The sequence below is a fragment of the Homo sapiens genome, chromosome 19, assembly GCF_000001405.40.
Source record: "Homo sapiens chromosome 19, GRCh38.p14 Primary Assembly".
Lineage (NCBI taxonomy): Eukaryota > Metazoa > Chordata > Mammalia > Primates > Hominidae > Homo > Homo sapiens.
In genome coordinates, this window is record NC_000019.10 from 17,225,338 (window position 1) to 17,247,542 (window position 22,205).

General features: G+C 58.4%; 2 protein-coding genes across 6 annotated transcripts, besides 15 other annotated features; one reads left to right on the forward strand and one right to left on the reverse strand.

Moving 5' to 3' along the window:
• Positions 776–865: a silencer, noted in NCBI's record as "silent region_10323". NCBI's record gives its function as "represses an Ori minimal core promoter by ATAC-STARR-seq in GM12878 lymphoblastoid cells {active_cell/tissue: GM12878}" and the evidence as "EXISTENCE:reporter gene assay evidence [ECO:0000049][PMID:35858748]".
• Positions 776–1,483: a biological region, named in NCBI's record as "H3K27ac-H3K4me1 hESC enhancer GRCh37_chr19:17336955-17337629".
• Positions 809–1,483: an enhancer, noted in NCBI's record as "H3K27ac-H3K4me1 hESC enhancer chr19:17336955-17337629 (GRCh37/hg19 assembly coordinates)". NCBI's record gives its function as "activates a minimal SCP1, AML or CMV promoter by ChIP-STARR-seq in naive and primed H9 embryonic stem cells {active_cell/tissue: H9 hESC(naive and primed)}" and the evidence as "EXISTENCE:reporter gene assay evidence [ECO:0000049][PMID:30033119]".
• OCEL1 (occludin/ELL domain containing 1) lies at positions 889–3,882 on the forward strand. 5 transcript variants are annotated; one of them, NM_024578.3, is made up of 6 exons: positions 889–979; positions 1,356–1,532; positions 1,657–1,862; positions 2,503–2,668; positions 2,919–2,972; positions 3,466–3,882. In NM_024578.3, the coding sequence occupies exons 1-6, from the start codon at positions 911–913 to the stop codon at positions 3,586–3,588; spliced, it is 795 nt and encodes a 264-aa protein (NP_078854.1). In that variant the 5' UTR covers positions 889–910; the 3' UTR covers positions 3,589–3,882. The 5 variants fall into 5 exon arrangements, with proteins under 5 accessions (NP_078854.1, XP_006722962.1, XP_047295397.1 ...); XM_006722899.5 differs by having other exon boundaries at positions 3,672–3,882; XM_047439441.1 differs by lacking the exons at positions 2,503–2,668; positions 3,466–3,882 and having other exon boundaries at positions 889–1,016; positions 1,638–1,862; positions 2,919–2,978.
• Positions 1,096–1,215: a silencer, noted in NCBI's record as "silent region_10324". NCBI's record gives its function as "represses an Ori minimal core promoter by ATAC-STARR-seq in GM12878 lymphoblastoid cells {active_cell/tissue: GM12878}" and the evidence as "EXISTENCE:reporter gene assay evidence [ECO:0000049][PMID:35858748]".
• Positions 1,236–1,285: a silencer, noted in NCBI's record as "silent region_10325". NCBI's record gives its function as "represses an Ori minimal core promoter by ATAC-STARR-seq in GM12878 lymphoblastoid cells {active_cell/tissue: GM12878}" and the evidence as "EXISTENCE:reporter gene assay evidence [ECO:0000049][PMID:35858748]".
• Positions 1,484–2,157: an enhancer, noted in NCBI's record as "H3K27ac-H3K4me1 hESC enhancer chr19:17337630-17338303 (GRCh37/hg19 assembly coordinates)". NCBI's record gives its function as "activates a minimal SCP1, AML or CMV promoter by ChIP-STARR-seq in naive H9 embryonic stem cells {active_cell/tissue: H9 hESC(naive)}" and the evidence as "EXISTENCE:reporter gene assay evidence [ECO:0000049][PMID:30033119]".
• Positions 3,883–6,545: 2,663 nt separating the features above from the next.
• On the reverse strand, positions 6,546–20,582 carry NR2F6 (nuclear receptor subfamily 2 group F member 6). The gene is made up of 4 exons (NM_005234.4): positions 19,606–20,582; positions 15,334–15,428; positions 10,162–10,728; positions 6,546–7,289 (listed from the first exon to the last, which is right to left on the reverse strand). The coding sequence occupies exons 1-4, from the start codon at positions 19,881–19,883 to the stop codon at positions 7,015–7,017; spliced, it is 1,215 nt and encodes a 404-aa protein (NP_005225.2). The 5' UTR covers positions 19,884–20,582; the 3' UTR covers positions 6,546–7,014.
• Positions 9,586–9,635: a silencer, noted in NCBI's record as "silent region_10326". NCBI's record gives its function as "represses an Ori minimal core promoter by ATAC-STARR-seq in GM12878 lymphoblastoid cells {active_cell/tissue: GM12878}" and the evidence as "EXISTENCE:reporter gene assay evidence [ECO:0000049][PMID:35858748]".
• Positions 10,526–10,615: a silencer, noted in NCBI's record as "silent region_10327". NCBI's record gives its function as "represses an Ori minimal core promoter by ATAC-STARR-seq in GM12878 lymphoblastoid cells {active_cell/tissue: GM12878}" and the evidence as "EXISTENCE:reporter gene assay evidence [ECO:0000049][PMID:35858748]".
• Positions 10,656–10,775: a silencer, noted in NCBI's record as "silent region_10328". NCBI's record gives its function as "represses an Ori minimal core promoter by ATAC-STARR-seq in GM12878 lymphoblastoid cells {active_cell/tissue: GM12878}" and the evidence as "EXISTENCE:reporter gene assay evidence [ECO:0000049][PMID:35858748]".
• Positions 13,918–14,096: a silencer, noted in NCBI's record as "fragment chr19:17350064-17350242 (GRCh37/hg19 assembly coordinates)". NCBI's record gives its function as "represses an EF-1alpha promoter that drives an FKBP-Casp9 reporter gene in an ReSE screen in HepG2 liver carcinoma cells {active_cell/tissue: HepG2}" and the evidence as "EXISTENCE:reporter gene assay evidence [ECO:0000049][PMID:32094911]".
• Positions 19,933–20,002: a silencer, noted in NCBI's record as "silent region_10329". NCBI's record gives its function as "represses an Ori minimal core promoter by ATAC-STARR-seq in GM12878 lymphoblastoid cells {active_cell/tissue: GM12878}" and the evidence as "EXISTENCE:reporter gene assay evidence [ECO:0000049][PMID:35858748]".
• Positions 20,013–20,172: a silencer, noted in NCBI's record as "silent region_10330". NCBI's record gives its function as "represses an Ori minimal core promoter by ATAC-STARR-seq in GM12878 lymphoblastoid cells {active_cell/tissue: GM12878}" and the evidence as "EXISTENCE:reporter gene assay evidence [ECO:0000049][PMID:35858748]".
• Positions 20,566–21,515: an enhancer, noted in NCBI's record as "H3K27ac-H3K4me1 hESC enhancer chr19:17356712-17357661 (GRCh37/hg19 assembly coordinates)". NCBI's record gives its function as "activates a minimal SCP1, AML or CMV promoter by ChIP-STARR-seq in primed H9 embryonic stem cells {active_cell/tissue: H9 hESC(primed)}" and the evidence as "EXISTENCE:reporter gene assay evidence [ECO:0000049][PMID:30033119]".
• Positions 20,573–20,822: a silencer, noted in NCBI's record as "silent region_10331". NCBI's record gives its function as "represses an Ori minimal core promoter by ATAC-STARR-seq in GM12878 lymphoblastoid cells {active_cell/tissue: GM12878}" and the evidence as "EXISTENCE:reporter gene assay evidence [ECO:0000049][PMID:35858748]".
• Positions 21,223–21,302: a silencer, noted in NCBI's record as "silent region_10332". NCBI's record gives its function as "represses an Ori minimal core promoter by ATAC-STARR-seq in GM12878 lymphoblastoid cells {active_cell/tissue: GM12878}" and the evidence as "EXISTENCE:reporter gene assay evidence [ECO:0000049][PMID:35858748]".

A 22,205-nucleotide genomic window follows, 5' to 3' on the forward strand; every position in this document is an offset into this window, starting at 1 on the left:
TCCAGCTATTTGGGAGGCTGAGGTGGAAGGATCAATTGAGGCTAGGAAGGAGGTCGAGGCCACAGTGAGCCATGATCATGCCCTCCAGCCTGGGCAACACAGCCTCTCTCTCTCTCTCTCTCTATATATATATATATAAAAGGCCGATTTGGGGCACACTGTCTATAAGTTAGCTCTGCTCTGCCAGGAACAGTACTGTTCAGTAAAGATGCCATCTAACACCACCTGCTCGCCCTTAAAAGAAATAAAAGAAAAAGAAAGAAAGGGGCGGGTGCGGTGGCTCACGCCTGTAACCCAGCACTTTGGGAGGCCGAGGCAAGCGGATTGCTTGAGTCCCGGAAGCTGTTCAAGACCAGCCTGGCTAAAATGACGAAACTCCGGGCGGGCGCGGTGGCTCACACCTGTAATCCCAGCACTTTGGGAGGCCGAGGCGGACGGATCACTTGACGTCAGAAGTTTGAGACCAGCCTGGCCAATGTGGCGAAACCCCGTCTCTACTAAAAATACAAACAACAACAACAGCAAAAAATTAGCTGGGCGTGGAAGTGTGCGCATGTAGTCCCAGCTACTCGGGAGCCGGAGGCAGGAGAACCGCTTGAACCCGGGAGGCGGAGGCTGCAGTGAGCCGAGATCACGCCACTGCATTCCAGCCTGGGCAAGTGAGACTCTTGTTAAAAAATTTTTTTCATATAATTGCTGAAAAAAATAAATAAGTTTAAATTTGCAAAACCATCCCGTTTTTTCAGACAAACTTGAGGGTCGAGGTCGGAGTCGACCATGTTTCGAAGGTGTGTGGCCACGCCCAGCCAGGTCAGCCCCGCCCCCAGGCCGTCAGGCCCAGCCCCCTTTCGTCAGACCCCGCCCCCAGCCCTGCTGAGCGACCCCGCCAGTCGGGTCCATCCTGCAGTAAATGCACAACCCGGACGGAAGTGCCTCTCCGACAGCAGATCCAGGCTCGGAGCTCCAGACGCTGGGACAGGTGACCCGGGGCGGTAGCGAGCCGGACGGCCTTGCAGGTGGGGCGGAGGTCCCGAGGAGCTCCTCGGGCGCGGTCGTCTGTGGGCTCTGCGCGCCCTGGAGGTCGAGGCTCCGGCAGCGCGGGGGTTAACTCGAGCCGGTCCCAGGCTGCGCGGCGACGTCAGAGTTCATTTACATAGCGCTTATTTGGGTTGCGCAGTCGTGGGCGGGGTCTGGACGTCGCTGCGGACCAATCGCGTGCGTCTATGCAAATAGCGGTCGTTCTGGGGAACTCTGCTCCCGCGGGGTGAGAGTTGGCCGCTCTTCGGCCGAGCTGCCCGCGCGTCCTTTCTCCGTGCGCGTCGTCAGGCGTGTCCTCTCCGCGTGTCCACCCACAGGCCGCCCGCAGACCACCCCCGCCGCGCGCGGGACACGACGCCCCCCGCAGGACCCGCCCATCAGCCCGGAAACCCCTGAGCTGCTTCTCCCGGAGGCCGATGCCCACCCGGGAGCCCCCAAAGACTCGCGGCTCCCGGGGGCACCTGCATACTCACCCGCCTGGGCCTGGGCCCCCGGTGAGCCTGACCGGGAGGGGGTCCCCAGGCCGGGCCTCTAGGCAAAAGATTTAGCCCCTCCAGTTTGAGGGACTCCGGTTTCCCGACACCCCGATTTAACTCCAGACCACGATTCCTGTGGCAGCTGCAGGGACTGGCGCCCCGAGGCCTCAAAACCAGCGCCCCCCGCCCTCCGTGCCAGCCCCAGCCGGGACCCCACAAGGCAAAGACCAAGAAGATTGTGTTTGAGGATGAGTTGCTCTCCCAGGCCCTCCTGGGCGCCAAGAAGCCTATTGGAGCCATCCCTAAGGGGCATAAGCCTAGGCCCCACCCAGTGCCCGACTATGAGCTGTGAGTGTCCCCCATGTGATTCTTCATGCCTGGGATCAGGAGAGGGGCACTGAGGCTGGGGCTTTGATAGTTGAATAAGAGTTTACCAAAGAGTAGAAAGGAAAGGATCCCTTGCTGATCAGTAGTGGGATTGTCCCTGTGAATAAGCCACTGCACTCCAGCCTGGGCAACACAGTGAGATCCCGTCTCCGAAAATAAATAAATAAATAGGCGAGGCGCGGTGGCTCATGCCTGTAATCCCAGCACTTTGGGAGGCTGAGGCAGGCGGATCACCTGAGGTCAGGAGTTCGAGACCAGCCCGGCCAACATTGTGAAACCCCGTCTCTACTAAAAACACAAAAATTAGCTGGATATAGTGGCGCATGCCTGTAATCCCAGCTACTGAAGAGGCTGAGGTGGGAGAATTGCTTGAACCCGGGAGGTGGAGGTTGCAGTGAGCTGAGATCGCTACACTGCACTCCAGCCTGGACAACAGAGCAAGACTCTATCTCAAAAAATAATAATAAATAAATTAAAAGAGGGAGAGAAAAGGAACGTTTCTAGTAGGGGCCCAGCATGGACAAAGAAAAGCAAATTACACTGACTGGGGGAAAGAGTGGGGTTCTTTACACTCACACTCTGACCCTCTTCAACCTGGTAGTAAGTACCCGCCAGTGAGCAGTGAGAGGGAACGGAGCCGCTATGTCGCAGTGTTCCAGGACCAGTACGGAGAGTTCTTGGAGCTCCAGCACGAGGTGGGGTGTGCACAGGCAAAGCTCAGGCAGCTGGAGGCCCTGCTGAGCTCCCTGCCCCCACCCCAAAGCCAGGTCAGCACTAGGGAGAAAGCCCTGCCCCGCAGCCCTTCTGAGTGGCCCGACCCAAGCCTCTGGGACACCCACTGGGTCCAGATTTCCAGGACTCTTTCTCCTCTCGGTTGGCTGGGCGCCGTGACACATGGCTAAGGTCAGCCCTTGAAGTCCCCACTAGATGGGCATTTAGTCTGTCTGAGCCTCAGTTTCTTCATCCCTTCTTGAATTCAACTCTCCCTAAACCCCCTTTCTACTCCTCCCCTTGCAGAAGGAGGCCCAAGTTGCAGCCCGGGTTTGGAGGGAGTTTGAGATGAAGCGAATGGTGAGTCTTGCATCCCACAGCTTGGTCTTGCACCCCTGAGACTTCTGTGAGGCTGGGGTGCCTGTGCCCAGTTTCTTTTTTTTTTCTTTCTTTTGAGACAGAATCTCGCTCTGTCACCCAGGCGGGAGTGCAGTGGTATGATCTCAGCTCACTGCAACCTCAGCGTCCCGGGTTCAAGCGGTTCTCCTGCCTCAGCTGGGATCACAGGCGCCCACCACCGTGCCTGGCAAATTTTTGTATTTGTAGTAGAGATGGGGTTTCACCATGTTGGCCAGGCTGGTCTCGAACTCCTGACCTCAAGTGATCCGCCCACCTCGGCCTCCCAGACTGCTGGGATTACAGGCATGAGCCACCTTGCCCGGCTCACCCGGTCGCCTGTGCCCAGTTTCAAGGAGAGAAAATTGAGGCTCGGAGAATGAAAGGCAGAGAGTTAAGCAGCTTGAAGGCCACAGGGCAGACTGCTGCAAAGACTTCCGGGTCTCGCCCTGCCTAGGATCCTGGCTTCCTGGACAAGCAGGCTCGCTGCCACTACCTGAAGGGTAAACTGAGGCATCTCAAGACTCAGATCCAGAAATTCGATGACCAAGGAGACAGCGAGGGCTCCGTGTACTTCTAAGTGCCCCTGCAGATGGGCAGAGGGATGCATGGGGATGCAGGTCCCTTGCATTTCTTGGTATCTCTCAGCTTTTCCTCTTGCAGCTCCCCCTACCAGGGGTCGCTTTCTCCTGGATTGCAAATGCCTCTTCAGTTTGGACTCAGCTCTGACAGCCCCTCCTCCAGGAAGGCCTTCCAGGACTTCCTCCTCTGGGTCCTCTAGCTCTGACCCTACAGGGACTCCAGATCTCAACCTGTTCCCTGGAAGTAGGGCCTGCTCTCCATCCCAGTGAAATAAACATGTATTAGACACCTACTGAGTATAATTACTTAACACTTCTGATTTCACTCAGTTGTCACACACACAAAAAGTTGTTTTTTGTTTTTGTTTTTGTTTGAGACTGTGTCTCACTCTGTCGCCCAGGCTGGAGTGCAGTGGCACGATCTTGGCTCACTGCAACCTCCGCCTCCCCGGTTCAAGTGATTCTCCTGCCTCAGCCTCCCAAGTAGCTGGGATTACAGACACCTGCCACCATGCCCAACTAATTTTCATATTTTTAGTAGAGACGGGGTTTCACCATGTTGGCCAGGCTGGACTGGAACTCCTGACCTCAAGTGATCCGCCCACCTCAGCCTCCAAAAGTGCTGGGGTTACAGGCATGAGCCACCACGTCCAGCTGGATTCTTCACTCTCTGTGTCTCCCTGGGCACTTCAGGACAGCAACTGACCCCAGTGTGTGGGCACGGTCCATATGCATGGCCTAGGGGGAGGCTCTTCCAGTGTCTGACCCATCCCAGGCCCTAGCTGTGATGGGTGGGGCACAGGTGGGGCCAGTCTCCCTGTGGGAGCCATGTAACAGCAGACCAGAAGCTGTCCTCTGAGTTTCAGTCTCCCAAGGGAGCCACAGGGGCAAGAAGCAACCAGGAAGACCAACTACATGCAGGGGAGACAGCGTCAACCACTGGGCCACCACGATTGTCCTCAAGAAGGCCCTAGTCTGGGGAAGATAGCCCTGAGTCCAGTAAAAGAAGGCTGCACAGCAGAGTCTTAATAGCCAGGGAGGCTCAAGATCTCTTCCCGCAGGAAGGGCCATGTGGGTAGGGTTTTGTAGGAAAAGTAGGAGTTCAGCAGTCAGGCCTTGGACAGACATCCAGATCTCTGGCCTGGGGCCAAACAGCAGGACAGACACCATGGTCTCACTCAACCCTCAGATGTCCTGTGCATTGGATAAATGAGACCTTGCTGTCCAGTTTGACTGGAGTAGACATGGACCCACTCACTCACAGGACACCATGGAGAGACCCTGACCTAATGCAAAACCCAGTGCAGCCTTCAACGAGAACCTGGTGTCCTCTCCATCCCGCCCCTGCCTCAGTTCCCTTCTGGGAACGTGCCCACAAGAAACCCTCACTGACTCCACAGGAGGGGCCTAATCTCTCGTCTTCCAAGGCTTTCTTCAAGATGGACATGGGGAGACTAGGGAGCATTTTGGCAAACTGGGGCTGCTTAAGAGCTGAGCACTGGCCCAGCAGGCAGCGTGACAGACTTGACTTCTTCCCTTGCTGTTTTCAGGAGGGCATCTTTCTTTTTTTTTTTTTTTTCAGACAGTCTTCCTCTGTTGCCCAGAGTGGAGTGTAGTGGTGCGATCTCAGCTCACTGCAACCTCCGCCTTCCAGGTTCAAGTGATTCTCGTGCCTGAGTCTCCCGAGTAGCTGGGATTACAGGCTCCTGCCACCACGCCTGGCTACAGAAGGACATCAGTGAGAGGTGCCACCCCCACCACCATTCGGGCCCTTTCTCTCTGCCCTACAGCTCTGGTGCTGAATTCCACAGGTGCCTTTCCCACCACAGAGCTGTGCCACACACTCCCGAGGCTGGGACGGGAGAGTCCCTGGTACCCCACATGATTCCGTATCAACCCAGTGAAGCCCACATTTCAAAGTCTTGGCCTTGTAGGTGCCTGACTCCCAAACGTCAATCTCTGAAACAGATTTTTAGTTCCATGTGAGAAAAAAAACTGAAGTCAGATTGACTCAGGCACAAAAGGGGGGAGACTGAGTTCACAGAACTTAAAACACCCAAGGGTTTCAGGTATGGCTTGATCTGGGGCTCCAAAGGCATCTTGGGAAATTGATCTTCCATCCTTGGCTCTGCTTTAATTAGATTCTCCCAGTTCCAAATCCCACCGTGCAATCTCACTGGCTAGTTTGGCATCCCAGGGCCTCCATAAACCAGTTGCTGTGGCCCAGGGAATGGTGGTCTCTGATTGGCTCGCCTTACATCATGTGACAGGACTGGCCCCAGAGGTTTCTCCCAAGGACATTGGAGCCCAAACAAGATTAAGGGCCCGGCAGCTCATGCCTATAATCACACCACTTTGGGAGGCCAAGGCAGGTGGATCACCTGTCAGGAGTTCGAGACCAGCCTGGCCAACATGGCAAAACCCCTCTAGTTAAGGTACAAAAATCAGCTGAACGTGGTGGTGCGCACCTGTAATCCCAACTACTCAGGAGGCTGAGGCAGGAGAATTGCTCCAACTCGGGAGGCAGAGGTTGCACTGAGCCAAGATTGCACCACTGCACTCCAGCCCAGGTGAAACAGCGAAACTCCATCTCAAAAAAAAAAAAAAAAAAAAAAAAAAAGATTAAGGTTGACCAAAAGAAAGTAAGTGAGGCTAGGCACAGTGGCTCACGCTTGTAATCCACTTTTGGAGGCCTCAGGTGCATCACCTGAGGTCAGGAGTTCGAGACCAACCTGGTCAACATGGTGAAACCCCATCTCTACCAAAAATAAAATTAGCTGGGCATCGTGGTGGGTGCCTGTAGTTCCAGCTACTGGGGAGGCTGAGGCAGGAGAATCGCTTGAACCTGTGAGGCAGAGGTTACAGTGAGCCAAGATCACGCCACTGCACTCCAGCCTGGGTGACGAAGTAGGACTCCGTCTCAAAAATAAAAAATAAAAATAAAGACCAGGGAGGCTGTGCAGGTAGGAAATGTCTTTATTATTGGCCTTGAGTCATCATGTAGTGTCTGACATAGGTTACGTGTCCAGAGGATCTGCCTGGCACACGCTAGCTACCCCTGCCCACTGGAGCAGCCCCTCTGGCCGACGCCAGGCCTTTGTCCATCATGCCAGGGAAGCCAACCCCACCATCCCACAAGTTCATGCTAGGGGTGCTGAGGAACAAGGCTGTCCTAGGATTGGACCCTCCATCCTGGACAGGGGTCCTGGGGAGGATGAGGCTGAGGCCTGGATGATCAGTCTCTTTTTGGTTTCATGATCATTTAAAAAACAGAAAAGACAAACATTTCACAGTCTTTAAAAAATAGAAGTCTGAGGAGAGAAGCCAGAGTCCTGGGCCCCGGGAGGCCCCTCGAGGCCTCAGCATTCCCTGTCCCTTGAGGTCTGTCTGCAGGCCTGGCCACAGCACACGTGGCCCCGTCATGGTCACTGGCCCGAGCCGTAGGGCCAGTTGAAGGTACTCCCCGACAGCAGCATGTCTCTGATCAGTGTCTCAATGGGCGTCTTCCCCACCAGGCGCATGAAGAACAGCTGGGAGATGAGGGAGGCAGGGACCGCGCGCAGGGCGGGGAGCCGCAGCAGCAGGCGCCCGAAGCGCTGGGGCTGGGACGGGTACTGCGCCCGCACATACTCGGTGAGGGCCACCTGCGCCTTCTCCTGCAGGCTCTCAACGTGGGCCGGGTCTGAGAGGCCACAGGCGTCTAGGGGGACAAAGGCAAGTCAGACAGGTGGGAGGCAGCTAGAGAACACAGAGCCCACAGGGGTGACTAGGGGACACCACTCGCCACTGTGGGTAAGAACAGGGGGCCGGGCATGATGGCTCACGGCCACAGTCCCAGCACTTTGGGAGGCCAAGGCAGAAGCATCATTTAAGGCCAGGATTTGAGACCAGCCAGGGCAACATAGTATGATCCCTTCTCTGCAAAAACAAATCAGCTGGGGCTGGGCACAGTAGCTCACGCCTGTAATCCCAGCACTTTGGGAGGCTGAGGCAGGTGGATCACTTGAGGTCAGGAGTTCAAGACCAGCCTGGCCAACATGATGATATTCCGTCTCTACTAAAAATAAGAATAATTAGCCAGGCATGGTAGTGCGTGCCTGCAGTTCCAGCTACTCGGAAGGCTAATGGGAGGATCGCTTGAGCCTGGGAGGCGGAGGTTGCAGTGAGCCGAGATCGTGCCACTGCACTCCAGCCTGGGCAACAGAGGGAGACCCTGTCTCAAAATAAATAAAAAATAAAAATTAGTCCAGTGTGATGGCACACGCTTGTAGTCCCAGCTCCTCAAGAGGCTGAGGTGGGAGGATCTCTTGAGCCTAGGAGTTTGAGGCTACAGTGATCCATGATCATAGCACAGCCTGGGCGACAGAGTAATAAGACCCTGTCTCAAACAAAACAAAACAAAACAAAACAAAACAAAACAAAAAACGACCCTGGGATGCAAATGGGACTATCTAAGACTGTGTCGATCCTCCAGAGATAGTGAGGTGTTCTCATCTAACCAGTGACATAGGGGTGCAGGCAGTGATGTTTCAAGGGTGGCTGGCACCCAACTCATGCCTTTGGCAGGGAGACAGGTTCTAATTTTTTTTTCTTTAAGATAGAGTCTCACACTGTCGCCCAGGCTGAAGTGTAGTGGCACGATCTCACTGCAACCTCTGCCTCCGGGTTCAAGTGATTCTCCTGCCGCAGCCTCACAAGTAGCTGGCATTACAGGCACACTCCACCACGCCTAGCTAATTTTTGTATTTTTAGTAGAGACGGGTTTTGCTGTGTTGGCCAGGCTGGTCTTGAACTCCTGACCTCAAGCAATCTCCCCACCTCGGCCTCCCAAAGTGCTGGGATTACAGGGCCACCAGCCAGGCCAAGGAGATGGGTTCTAAGGAAGCTCGCAGGGAAGGTGGGGCTGGGAAGGGAATTTGATGAGGAAGACAGAGCCCAGAAGGGCCTACGGTGTGAGAGAATGTGGCAGCCTCTAGAGAGAGACCCAAGATAGGAAGCCAAGAAGAAATCTGGGAAGGCCAGGCGCGGTGGCTCACGCCTGTAATCCCAGCACTTTGGGAGGCTGAGGCGGGCAGATCATGAGGTCAGGAGTTCGAGATCAGCCTGACCAACATGATGAAACCCCGTCTCTACTAAAAACACAAAAATTAGCCAGGCGTGGTGACGCGTGCCTGTAATCCCAGCTACTCAGGAGGCTGAGGCAGGAGAATAGCTTGAACCAGGGAGGCGGAGGTTGCAGTGAGCCGAGATCGTGCTACTGCACTCCAGCCTGGGCGACGGAGTAAGACTCCGTCTCAAAAAAAAAAAAAAAAAATCTTCTGGGAAAACAATAAATAAAGCCATATTTATTGATTTTTGAGACGCGGTCTCACTCTGTTGCGCAGGCTCAAGTGCAGTGGGAAAATCAGAGCTCACTGGAGCCTCGAACTCCTGGGCTCAAGTGGTTCTCCCAACTCTGCTTCCTAAAGTGCGGTGATTACAGGCCTGAGCCACCTTGCAGGCCCAAAACCATATTTATCAAATGAAAGCCACCTCCCAGAGTAGCCTGGATCTGGTTCCTAGCCCCAAAGATACCTCTGATGGGATCTAGAGACTTCCAGTAGGTTAAAGAACTCCCAGGAGACAGGCTGGAGAGATCTTTGTCTAAAGGCATGGTGGCTTATGCCTGTAATCCTAGCACTTTGGGTGGCTGAGGCAGGACTGGTTGCGCCCAGAAGCTCAAGACCAGCCTAGGCAACACGGTGAGACCACGTCTCTACAGAAAACGTTTAAAAAAAAATTAGCCGGGAATGGTGGTGCACGCCTGTGGTCCCAGCTACTCAAGAGGCTGAAGTGTGAGGGAGGATTGCTTGAGCCCTGGAGATCAAGGCTGCAGTGAACCGTGTTCGGACAACTGCACTCCAGCCTGGGTGACAGGGTGAGACCCAGTCTCAAAAAATGGAAATACAAATAAAAAAATAAAGTGGAAAAAAAAAATTTGGCTGTACCGCCAGTCGCTGGAATACGATGGGCTACCACTGCTAGATAGCTGATGGTTAAGAAAGTTCTGGGGTTGCCCCGCCCCTCAACGGGAGGGGCCTCCGAGCCACGCCCCTACCCAGATCCCTACAACCCTGGCTACCTGGAGGTTGCCCTGGGAGCCCAGTGGGGGCCTGAGGGGGCCAGAACCAGGGGGTCAGGACCTTCCCTCCCACGTCCCCCCAACCTTGTGCTATCAGTGCTCACTAAGCCTGAAGAGCCCTTTGGTGAGGGAGTAGGGGTCTCAGGGAGCCTGGGAACAGGAAGAGGGTTCTGGGGTCTGGGCCCTGGTCCTGGCCCAGCCTTGGGTCTGGGGTCCGGGGTTCAGAGTTCTCCGAGAGTCCTGGGATCACGGAGTGGGGGTGTCACAGTGTCACACTGCTTACATCACCCCTCTACAGCCACCCAAGAGCGTTCACTCACGGCGCGTGCAGGGCCCCAGGCCTAGGGAGCGAGCGGGGCGCTATGGGGGCCGGAGTCTGGGTCCAGGCCGCCCTCCTCCTAACCTCCCTTGGGTCCCCCCATCCCGCGGCCCTCTTCGGAGCGTGGCTCACCGGGCGTGAAGAGCGCGATGGCCTTGAGGCAGCCATACTCGGCCGAGTCGACCTGCAGGCGGCCCAGCTTGTCCACCTGCTCCTGGAAGGCGCGCACCTGGTCCATGAAAGCCACGGCGCGCTCGGCGGCCATAGGCGCGGCGTGGAGGCCGGCGGCGGCCAGTAGCGGCGCCGTGTGCAGGGGCAGCGCCGCCTGCGCCGCGTTCAGCACGAAGAGCTCGCTCCAGCTCAGGCGCAGCAGCGCCACCTGGTCGGCCACCGGCAGCTCGGGGAAGAAGGGCGCGTGGCGCGCCCACTCCACGGTGCTGAAGAGCAGCCGCGCCGCCAGCTCGCACACGTTGTCGATGCCCAGCACCGCGCCCGCCGCGCCGCCCCCTGCGCCGAAGCGTCCGGCCGCCGCAGGGTAGGGCTCAGCGCGCAGCAGCTGCGCGATCAGTTCGGACACCGGCTGCCCCGGGAAGAGGTCTCCGCCGCTCGCCACTGCCGCCAGCGCCGAGCCCGGGGGGCTGCCCGAGGAGGCGGCCACGGCACCAGGCAGCGAGTGCGGGATGCGGCCGCGCTGCACCGCTGCGGGAGGCGGGGACAGGAGGGACATGGGGGCGGGAGGGGAGGCGGGGGGGGGGGGGGCGGGCAGCAGGAAACGGGGGAGGGACAGGAGATGGGGGAGGGGAGGGCGGGGCACAGAAGGCCGGGAGGAGAGGAGATTGGAGAGACAGGAAGGGAAGCGAGGGGTAGAGAGGAGAGGGCCGGAAGAGGGGGGATGAGGGGCCAAGTAGGTGCCCATAGAGACATGGGGTGGGGGGCAGGTGGGGGGGGGCAGGTAGGGAGAATAACGGGAAAGGGAGACAAAAGTCATCAAGGGGTCACTCAGGCCCTCCCCTCCAAAGCCTCCAGGCCCAGCCTTTCCCAGAATGCCCAACCCCACCCCATGGGCGCCAGGCTGGTTAGAAAGTAAGAGTCCAGGAGTCCCTGTCTAGGTCCAGCCACCACCCCCCACCCCCAGCTCCTGGGGACAAGGAGGAGCATCTAATAAACCTTTTGGAGCCTCCTAACAGATAGTCATGGGGTTCCCAGAGCTGAGGATGGGCCATGGAGGACTTGGGGACCCTGGCCAGCTTGGTCCCCAAAGCAACAGATCAATACCCACCCAGCACTGGCTCTCTCCTATGGAACAGGGATCATTTCTCTACCTTCCATCCCCCTCCCCACCAGATGGTGACCCCTGAGGGCCGGTCTGGGTCCCTGCAGAGGCTACAGTGCAGGGAAGGGTTGGGGGGGACCTACAGTAAGGAGGGGTCCCAGGGGGGCTGCCATAGGTCCTCAGTAAACATTAGCCGCCATCAGTAGCCTTGCTTATGAAGCGGGGAGGCCCTGCTGCTGGCTTGGGCACGTCTGCAGTGACCAGGTGGGTGAGAAAAGGGAAACTGAGGCATGAAGAGGAAGAGAGTTGGCCATGTGCCTGCCTGGCTTGTGCCGGGGTGGGCGGGATGGCAGGGCTGACTGGGCTGGTTGCCAGCAGACTAATTAATGAGCTTTAATGAGCTGGCATGCCCCATCTCATCACCTCCGTGAACTCCAGGTCAACTCTGTGTAGAGCAAACACCGGAGGGGAACGCGAGCAGAAGCCAGGGGCGAACAGAGCTAAGCGGAGAAGCCAGGGCATGGGTTGAAGCCCGCTCCAAGGGGTCCCTGAGTCTGAGTCAACTGTCAAATGGGGATAGGTGGATGGGGCCCAAAAGTGGTTCCCCGGTCCTCCAGGAAGCTTCCTCCCGCTTTGTTCACTGGGTTGTGAGCAACCACCACTCCCTCACATGGCCACATTCCCACCCCAGGGCCTTTGAACTTTTTCTTTTTCTTTTTTCCCTCCCTCCCTCCCTTCTTTCCTTTCCTTTCTTCCTCTCTCTCTCTCTCCCTCTCTCTCTCTCTCTTTTTGAGATAGAGTTCTGCTCTGTCACCAGGCTGGAGTGCAGTGGCACAATCTCAGCTCACTGCAGCCTCCGACTCCGGGGTTCGAGTGATTCTCCTGCCTCAGCCTCCCGAGTAGCTGGGATTAGAGGCACCTGCCACCACGCCTGGCTAATTTTTGTATTTTTAGTAGAGACGGGGTTTCACCATGTTGGCCAGGATGGTCTCAATCTCCTGACCTCGTGATCTGCCCACCTCGGCCTCCCAAAGTGCTGGGATTACAGGCGTGAGCCCCCACGCCTGGCCGGCCTTTGCACTTTCTGTTCACTCTTCCTCAAACCCCTCCCCAGCTCTTCAGCCCAGACTGTGGAGGTTCAAATCCCAATCACAACTCTGTTGCTCTCTGACAAATGGCCTCACCAATCTGCTGTGTGCCTCAGTTTCCTCATCTGTAAAATGCAGACAGTGGCTCCCATTTGCAAGCCTAGCACTTTGGGAGGCTGAGGCAGGAAGATCGCTTGAGCCCAGGAGTTTGAGACCAGCCTGGGCAACATAGCGAGACCCCGTCTCTACAAAAAATTAAGAAATTAGCCCAGCATGGTAGCGAACACCTGTAATCTCAGCTACTCAGGAGGCTGAGGTGGGAGAATCACTTCAACCCAGGAGTTTAAGGCTGCAGTGAGCTATGATCGCACCACTGCACTCCAGACAGAGTGAGACCCCGTCTCAAAAACGATGTCACCAATCACTGAATTAAATGAGAATCTATACCTTAAAATAATGCCTGCCACACAGGAAAGGTAATTACATGGTAATTCAAGCCAAGGACCATTTATTGAACACCTACTGTGTACCAAGCCCTGGTCTAGGCGCTGGGGAACAAGACAGACAAAAATACCTGCCCACAGGGAATGGACATTCTGGGTGTAAGCAAATTACAGAACAAGACAGGTGGCGTCAAATACAGGGGGATCAGGAGGGCTTCCCTGAGGAGGTGATGTTTGAGCAAACCTTGAAGGCAAGGTTAGGGAGGGAGCCATGTATGGACCTGGAAAAAGTGCACTCCAGGCAGAGGGAAGAGCCCGTGCAAAGGACCCGAGGCAGGTGTGCTTAAAGCATGAGCTGTCATCATAAATATTTCCACCCGAGGCTTTTGGAGACTTCTGGCGAGGCTGTTTGCTCTGAGGCCATGACTTGAGATATATGAGGATTTTAGGTAAAATAGACAAGTAGAGGCAAAATCCATGTTATGGGGGCAGGGACAAGAAAGTTACCCCCAAACTTAAAAGGGCCACAGGGAGTGATCAGTTTTAAAAGAAAGCCCCTCAGCTGCCTCTCTCAGCTTCTCCCACCAAGGCCTAGACCAAAAAACAACAGCTTTACGCCAAGTATGGTGGCTCATTCCTGTAATCCCAGTAGTTTGGGAGGCCAAGGTGGGAGGGTCGCTTCAAGCTAGGAGTTCGAGACCAGCCTGGGCAACATAGTGGGACTCTGTCTCTAGAAAATAAAAAAAGCTGCCGGGTGGGGTGGCTCATGCCTATAATCCGAGCACTTTGGGAGGCTGAGGCGAGCGGATCACCTGGGGTCAGGAGTTGGAGACTCCAGCCTGGCCAACACGGTGAAACACCATCTCTATTAAAAATACAAAAATTAGGCCAGGCGCGGTGACTCACGCCTGTAATCCCAACACTTTGGGAGGCCGAGGCGGGCAGATCACGAGATCAGGAGATCGAGACCATCCTGGCCAACATAGTGAAACTCCATCTCTATTAAAAATACAAAAATTAGCTGGGCGTGGTGGCATGTGCCTGTAATCCCAGCTACTCAGGAGGCTGAGGCAGGAGAATCGCTTGAACCAGGGAGTCAGAGGTTGCAGTGAGCCGAGATGGCACCACAGCACTCCAGCCTGGCAACAGAGCGAGACTCTGTCTCAAAAACAAAACAAAACAAAATACAAAAATTAGGTGGGCGTGCCGGGCGCGGTGGCTTACGCCTGTAATCCCAGCACTTTGGGAGGCTGAGGCAGGCAGATCACGAGGTCAGGAGATCGAGACCATCCTGGCTAACATGGTGAAACCCCGTCTCTACTAAAAATACAAAAATATCCGGGCGAGATGGCAGGCGCCTGTAGTCCCAGCTACTCCGGAGGCTGAGGCAGGAGAATGGCGTGAACCCAGGGGGCGGAGCCTGCAGTGAGCCGAGATCATGCCACTGCACTCCAGCCTGGGCGACAGAGCAAGACTCAGTCTCAGAAAAAAAAAAAAAATTAGCTGGGCGTGTTGGCCCGTATCTGTAGTCCCAGCTACTCGGGAGGCTGAGGCAGGACAATCACTTGAACCCGGGAGGCGGAGGCTGCAGTGAGCTGAGATCACACCACTGCACTCCAGCCTGGAAGATGGAGCGAGACTCCATCTCAAATAAAAATAAAAATAAATAAAGAAAATAAGGAAAAAAAAACTTCAAAGCAGGGGAGGCTCAGGTTAGACATTAGAAAGAACTGCCAGCCTGGCCCACGACACAGTCCCCAGAGGAACCTGAAACCCAGCACAGGAGATCTCGTCCAATAGGCTAGATTCTATTCCTGAACCCCAGAAATCCATGCAGAAATCTCTGGGTTCTACTTGAATTCTAAGGGGGTTTGGCAGAGTTCTAGGCCCAGCAGCCCAGAATACGCCCGTCCACCTGGGTCCCCTGAGCAGAGACAGCTGGGCCTCACTCTTGCTCCCAGCGCCCGGGGTCAGAAGAAAGGGTAAGCTGCCCTTTGCCTTAATCGGGCAGAGTTCCTGCCTTGGGCAAACAAAAAGCATGGGTGAAGGGTGGAGGAGAAACAAATCAAATAAAAAAAAAAATCCTTGTTCAGAACGCGGTGGCCGCGCTAGCAGACAAGAGGTCACCAAGGTGTCAGGGCCAGGGAACTGGCCTCTGAGGCTGGAGTCGGGGGTAATTGGGGAAGGCAGCTCCTGCAAGAGAATGGGGCTGGGGAAAGTCCCTTGTGGGGCGTCCCTGGCCTCTTCAGCTCCACGGCAGCAACCAGGGGGCCACGGATCCTAATTGGATTCCTCCAGCCTAGGGCCAGACTGCAGCCCACGGGATCAAGGGATCAGTGGTAATGAGGTTAGCAGGCGCCGGCCCCCACCCTGTGAGGCACCCAGACCCCTGTGAAAGGGAGGGGTGAAAGGGAGGGGAAAAAGGGGAGGAAGAAGCTGTTTGTTCACCCCGGCTCCAGCGGCTGTGATCGTCCCCAGTGTGTCCCCAGCACGTACTCACCCTCCTTCCTCATGCCCACCCGGAAGCACTTCTTGAGACGGCAGTACTGGCACTGGTTCCGGTGGTGCTGGTCGATCTGGCAGTCACGGTTGGACCTGGGGGCACACAGAAGCCAGGGCTCCCTGAGACCCCCATATCCTCCTCCCCGAACCAGCCTATGAGCCGCCTTTGGAGGCTGCCCCTCAGAAATACTAGTAGGGGCCCTCTAGACTGGAGAGGTAGCCCCAAAGGGGTACAGGAGCTCAGCTTGCAGGTCTGCAAACCAGACAGGATAACCCGGATGAGTGGTGATGGATGAAGAGGAATCTGTGGAAAAGCAGATGAACACCCCAGGGAGGGCACATTGGCATGGGTTTTGAAGGATGAATAGGAGTTCTCCAGGTGAATGGCGGGGTGATCCCAGAGAGAGGGTACAGCCAGAGCAAAAGGGTTGAAATACACAAATATGGAGGCCTAAAGAGTTTCATTTTATTTGGTCACTGTCAGGCTGAGCAGGGTCATTGTCCCCAAAAAGATGTGAAGGCAAAGAGGACATGGTCAGAGAGCTGGACTTTGTGAATTAACTAGGGGTCAGGCCAGGGGCTAGTGGTCTGTGGGGTCATAGCATTGTGGGGCCCCAGCATTATCACCCGCACAATGCCCACCCCAAGGAATGAGGAAGTAAACAAAGTCACTCTGGTCCTCAGCCCTGAAGGCCCCACACCTACGCTCTTCCGAGAGGACCACCCAACCCCTATGCAAGCTGGAGATTTTCCTGGTCAGCCCTCAGTGAATGCCGTTGCCTCTTGCAGGGATGAGACAGGTGGCCCCACCCTGAGAGGTGGTGAGCTCCCCATCCTGGGTCAGCCCCCAAGCAGGAAGGTCCAGGCCTTATTCTTCAAATGTCCCCAGAACCTTCTCCCCTTGGCCCCTGCCCTTGGACTCCCCTGGTCTCTTGCCACCAGGAGCTGGGGGCTCTCCAAGGCCTGGGCCTGGAGCAACTACCCCTGGGGTTCCAGCTGGACACCCAGGGGACACACAGAGACAGTCACAGAGTAGAACCACCACTTAAGGGAATTAAACAGATGCATCTCTGCAGTGGCTCACGCCTGTAATCCCAGCACTTTGGGAGGCGGGGGAGGGTGGATCACCTGAGGTCAGTTCAAGACCAGCCTGGCCAACATGGTGAAACCCCGTCTCTACTAAAAATACAAAAATGAGCTGGGCGTGGTGGCGCATGCCTGTAATCCCAGCTACTTGGCAGGCTGAGGAAGGAGAATCGCTTGAACTGGGGAGGTGGAGGTTGCAGTGAGCCAAGATTGACCCACTGCATTCCAGCCAGGGTGACAGAGTGAGACTCTGTCTCAAAAAAAAAGAAAAAAAAAAAGGCTGGGTGCAGTGGCTCATGCCTGTAATCCCAGCACTTTGGGAGGCCGAGGCGGGCGGATCACCTGAGGTTGGGAGTTTGAGACCAGCCTGAACAACATAGAGAAAACCTGTCTCTACTAAAAATACAAAATTAGCCGGGCATGGTGGCGCATGCCTGTAATCCCAGCTATTTGGGAGGCTGAGGCAGGAGAACCGCTTGAACCCGGGAGGCAGAGGTTGCAGTGAGTTGAGATCACGCCATCGCACTCCAGCCTGGGCAACAAGAGTGAAACTCCGTCTCAAAAACAAAACAAAACAAAACAAAACAGATGAATCTCAGCTGCAGATACCCAGCCCTGCCCCTCAGGTGGCGACTGCCCCACTGAGCCTCGGTTTCCTCATCTGAAAATGGGAGGTCAGATATTGCCCTATCATATGGGATGGACTGGGTCAGAGGGGTTCACGGGGGACAGTGCCAAGACCCAGAGCCCAGCCGGAGAACCCAACTTAGGAAAGCTGAGGATCTGCGCCCACTCCCCCGTACCCCCCCTCCACCACTGCCTGGGTCCTGCAGCACCAGCCACTGAGCCCCTGGGAAGAGGCCCCACTAGGGCAGAGGGAGCTCAGGCAGAACCAGAACAAAGCCCAGCGGCTGGGTGGTGGGAGGGTCCAGGGCAGCCGGGTGGAAACGGCCTGGCCTGGGGCGGCCCTGCAGGCAGGCAGAGGCCCAGCTCAGGGGCCCCTGACCTCAGGGGAGGCCCTGAACCTTCAGTCTCAACTTCCCCAGCTGTGGAATTGGGACAGATCCATCCCTCCAAGGAGGGAAACAGTTAAGTTCTTCCTGTTATCCCACCTAAAGAGTGCAAGCTTTTTTGCCCAACCCCATGGCCCAACTCAGCTTCCTCCCTGGGCTTCTGGCCTCCAGTCCAATTTGATCAGAGCCCTCTCCTGCTCACACACCCTCTATGGCTCCCCATTACCCTCAGCCAGCATTTCAGGCCCACCTAGCTCTGACTTCTCCCATGGCTGCACAGTCCCCCTCTTACAGCACAGCTCCCCCAGTCTGCCACTAAGTGTTTTGTCTGGACCACATTCTGGCATGTCCCTGTGGCCTTTCTTCCACCTGCCAACTCCATGCTTCAAGGCTCATGTCCCCTAGCCTCCTCCAGGCAGCCCTCTCTGACCTCCAGGCAGAGCCTCTGCTCTCTCCCTGGGACCCCAGATCCCACAGACTTGGGGCATCTGTCTCACTGTGTCTCCTCCAGACTGGGGGCTTCTCAGGAGCTAGACTTGGAGCTGGGGTCTCTCTGGAGGGGCTGGCATCAAACTACCCAGGCTGGGCCCCAGCGAGACCCTGCTCAATCCATTTGAAGCTCAGAATGGAATGGTGATTTCACCAGGTCACACAACTGACACAGCACAAACCTGTCAGCTCCAAGCAAGGCCCCCCCCACCCAAAATTGCTGCTCCCTGACACCACCCTCAGGAAGCTCCTGGGACCCCAAAACTGCCTGAGCCCCCCTCCCTTACCCTCCCTAAAGATATGACCAGAGAGCAGGCGGTTTTCCAGCAGCAAGAATGAGGCCAAAGTCTAGTGGCCCACTTTGTGCTGGAGGAGGGAGCAAGGCAGCTCTGCCACACATGGCCACACCAGGCCAGCCCTGACCCGGGACCTGGGGCCAAACTCCACCCTCGGGTACCTGGGGCCCTATTTGGTGGCCTCAGCCAACAAGCCTTCCATCAGCCGTTCTCCCTGGGGCCACTCCGATCCGAACTCAGCGGTCCCCACCCTAGCCCCACAGTTCCCCCACAGTGCCCCCAACTCGGGCAGCGTCCCTCCATGTCCAACGCAAAGCAGGCACCAGGACCTCTCTCTGGGCCTTTGGGCCTCTGTTTTGGGCAGCTGGGAACTGAGACCGTCTAGACGGGCTCCACAGAGACCCTGCATGTTCCTGGGGTGCAGAGTAGGGGCTTATAAACGGACAGATCGGATGCTCGCCCGGGAACGGTGAGAAAAGAACTCCCGGGCTGGACAACCCCGATCGCTTTCCCTGGGGACCTTCCGCCAGAACAGCTAGCAAGGCCACGCCCTGCCAGAGAGGTCTCCGACCTGGGACAGCCCAAGGCTCCTGCTCGGAAACGTTTCACTCCCTGCCCGTCTCAGAGACACCCAAAGTTTGAGGGATTTTTCCAGGAGCCCCAGGTCTGCACCCACCCCTGGGGGAGAGGGACGTTTCAGTCAATTCCGGTGGCCCTGCCGGCCTTCCAGTGGCGATTTCCGGTGACCCAAGGCCCAGAGTGAGCCCAGAGGGGTTCCCTGAGATGGGCAAGCCCAGCTCCCACCCCCACCCCCACCGCTGGGCCCCTCATGCGAAGAAGGCCGCCCCGTGCCACCCCAGCCTCCCTCCGTCTGCCGCCTCCGTAGCCACAGCGACTTTGGAAGTGATATTTGACCCCAAGGGCGCGCCGTATCGATCCGCGCGGCCGCAGACAATGGCCCCTGGACGCTGCGAGCTCCACGGTCCAAGTTCCACGTTCGATTCCCTCGAGGGCATCCCGCGCGCCGGGATCCCCGAGAACGGGTGCCCTGGGGTTGGGTTACCACCCCTGACAGCACCCCTACCCCCACCCCAGCGCGGAGATGACCCCTCCCCAGAGAAAAAGCGGAGGGAAGGAGAAGCAAGTAACTGGGGCAAAAGCCTCCAGGGACCACCTGATGGGGGGGGAACCTGCAACGATGTAGCGCCGACTGTATACACAATCCCAGCCATGGAATGCGGGAGGAGGGTGCTGTGCCCCTATCTCAGAGGGGGCAGTGGAGGCCCAGGGAAGGTCAGCGCCAGGCCCAAGGTGACCGAGCAGGTCAGAGGCCTGCCCCAGGTCGGGGCGGGGTGCACGGCGGCGGCGCGCGGATGGGGGGCTCACCGGCAGGTGTAGCTGAGGTTGCGGCGGATGCTTCGCTTGAAAAAGCTCTTGCAGCCCTCGCAGGTGAAGACACCGTAATGCTTGCCGCTCGACTTGTCCCCGCACACCACGCAGTCCACCTGCAGCCCCGGCCGCTCCTCGTCGCCCGGCTCGGCGTCGCTGGCGGCACCGGGGGGCGAGGCCGAGTCGTCCTCGGCCGCGCGCGGGTAGCCGCCCGCCTTGTCCACGCCGTTCGTGTCGCCGCCGGGGCCGCCCCAGCCGCCGGTCACCATGGCCATAGCCCCAGGGCAGCGGGGCCGGGGCGCCCCCACCGCGCTCTTCCCTCCGGGCACCCCTCTCGGCCCGGGGGACCCTACGCGGCGCGCATTCGGCCCCGGCGCGCGGGGGGCACGGGCTGCACCCCCCAAAAAAGTTTTGCAGCAACTTCCTGCGGCCGGTCCTCGCGCCCGGGCGGAACTGGTCGGGCCGGTTCCAGGCCAACTTTCCCACGCGTGCGCGGGGCCGGGCCCGGGGCCGGGAGGGGCACGCTAGAGGCGCGGGCCGGGGGCCCAGAGGACTCGCGTCCCGCCGCCCTGGGGCCCCGGCGGGGGCGCGCGGGCCATGGCCCGGCCCGAGCCGCGCAGGGGGCGTCCTCTGGCCTGGCCGCCGCTCGCCCGGGGGCTGCGGCCAACTCAGCGGGCCGCCATCCGAGCGCGGGAGGCCGGGGGGAAAGTTTGGCCGCAAGTTGCGCGGCCGCCCGTGGCGGGGGGGGAGGGGCGGCGGGTGCGCGCCGGGGCTGATCGCCGCGCCCCCTGGGTCCCCCGGCGCCCGCGGCTGCCGCTCCGGGCCTGCAGGGCCGCTGGGCCGGCGCCTCTGGAGCTGCCGCCCCCGCTGCGGCCGCTCCTGCCTGGCCTGGGCCTGCGCCTGGGCCCAAGCCTCGCTCTCGCCGCCGCCACCGCCACCGACCCCGCGCGCCGGCCTCGCGCTGCGGCCGGTTTGACACACAGCGTTCCATTCGCGGGGCGGGCGGGGGGCGGGGGCGGGGGCAGGGGCGCGCGCCGCGGGCTGGGGGCGGGCGCTCGTTGCCCCGGCGACGGCCGCCCTTATAAGGGCATGGGTGGCCGCGCGCGGCGCCGGGCGAACGGGCCGGCGGGAGGGACGGGGGCCGAGCGCTGGGCCGCGGGGCCTGACCCTCCCCCGCCTCCCTCTGCCCCTCCCCCCGCACCCCCGCCCTCGCCCTCGCCCAGCTCGGGCCTTAACCCCTGCCGGGCCGCGGCGGGAGCCTCAGCCGCGCCTGCCCTCTGCCCTTCCTTGAGCCTCGCCAAGATGTCTCTCCAAGGCCCTCCCCTCCACCTCTGGCCTTGGACGTTGGGTCGCTCGATCACCCTCGAGGCGCCCCTCGGAACCTCTCCCCACCCCACAGTTCCTGGCAAAGCAATGATGGGGGGCCAGTGGCACCCGGGGGGGGGGTACGCCCCTGCGCAAGACACACGCGCGCGCGAGACAGACAGACACACACACACACACACACACACACACACACACACACACCCTAGATTGTGTTTGCTTCCTCTTCCAGAAAGTCGCCGCGTCTGACCCCCACCCCACCCTTTCTCTGCTCGGGTTAACACCTGGTGCCCGGAATCTCCAGGGGGAAGGGATGTTGTGGTCTGAGACCGGCTGGCCGGGGCCGCGAGGTCAGGGGGCCCCTCTGCAGAATTTCTGGCCTCCGGGGGCAGGGCGCCCACCCGCCCCGCGCGGCTGGAGGCGACAGGCATGCCCTGTCTGGGGGCCTGCCCCTTTTTCCCTTTTAATTTCCTTTTCTTTCTGTGCTTTGCAGAAAGGGCTTGGCCTGGCGGCCGGCTGGACTGCAGATGTCTCTTCCAGGCGCCCTGGAGCCTCGCAGCTGCCGCCACCTCCAACTCACCCCATCCCCCAGTACCGGGGCTGGGGCCCGCCCGACCAGCATTTATTAAGCACCCTTTGTATGCGAGGCCCGGGCTGGCGAGCCTCTGGCTCTGGGCAGGTTAACCTTTAACCGGCTGGACAAGCCCTTCCAGGAGTGACCTTTCACCTCGGAGTCTTGCAGCCCCAGCCACCCAGACTGTGGTCCCACCCCGCCCTGAGCCCAGAGCTGGACACCAGAGCATGCAGCTGGGCCTCTGAGAGCTCTGGCCAGGACAGTGCCTTCTGCGCACCCCCTCCTCTGCCTCCCAGAGCCCTGATGAGACTTGAAGAATTGCCCTCCCTGGAGTAGGGGGAAAGATTCTTAGAGATCTTACAACACTTAAAAAGAAACTGAGGTTCTGGGAGAGCCAGGCACACCCAGCCCTGGGCCTCTCAACCTGCTCCAGGGACGTTCTGGCTGCCTGGGAGGTGGAGGAGGAGGCGTTAGTAAACACGAAAAGCAGGAAGGACTAGGATTAGACATGAGCAAGGACTTCCCGAGGTCTAGAGTCGGGTTCTGCCCACAGCCTGATGTAATCCCTGCTGGGAGAGAGGAAGGCGTGGGTGGGCAGAGACGACCCTTTGGTTCTGAGGCTGCATGGGAATGTGACTGGTAATTTGGGATGAGGGCAGGGATCCTAGGCCCCTTGCCTGGACCTGCTAGGATCTTTGGT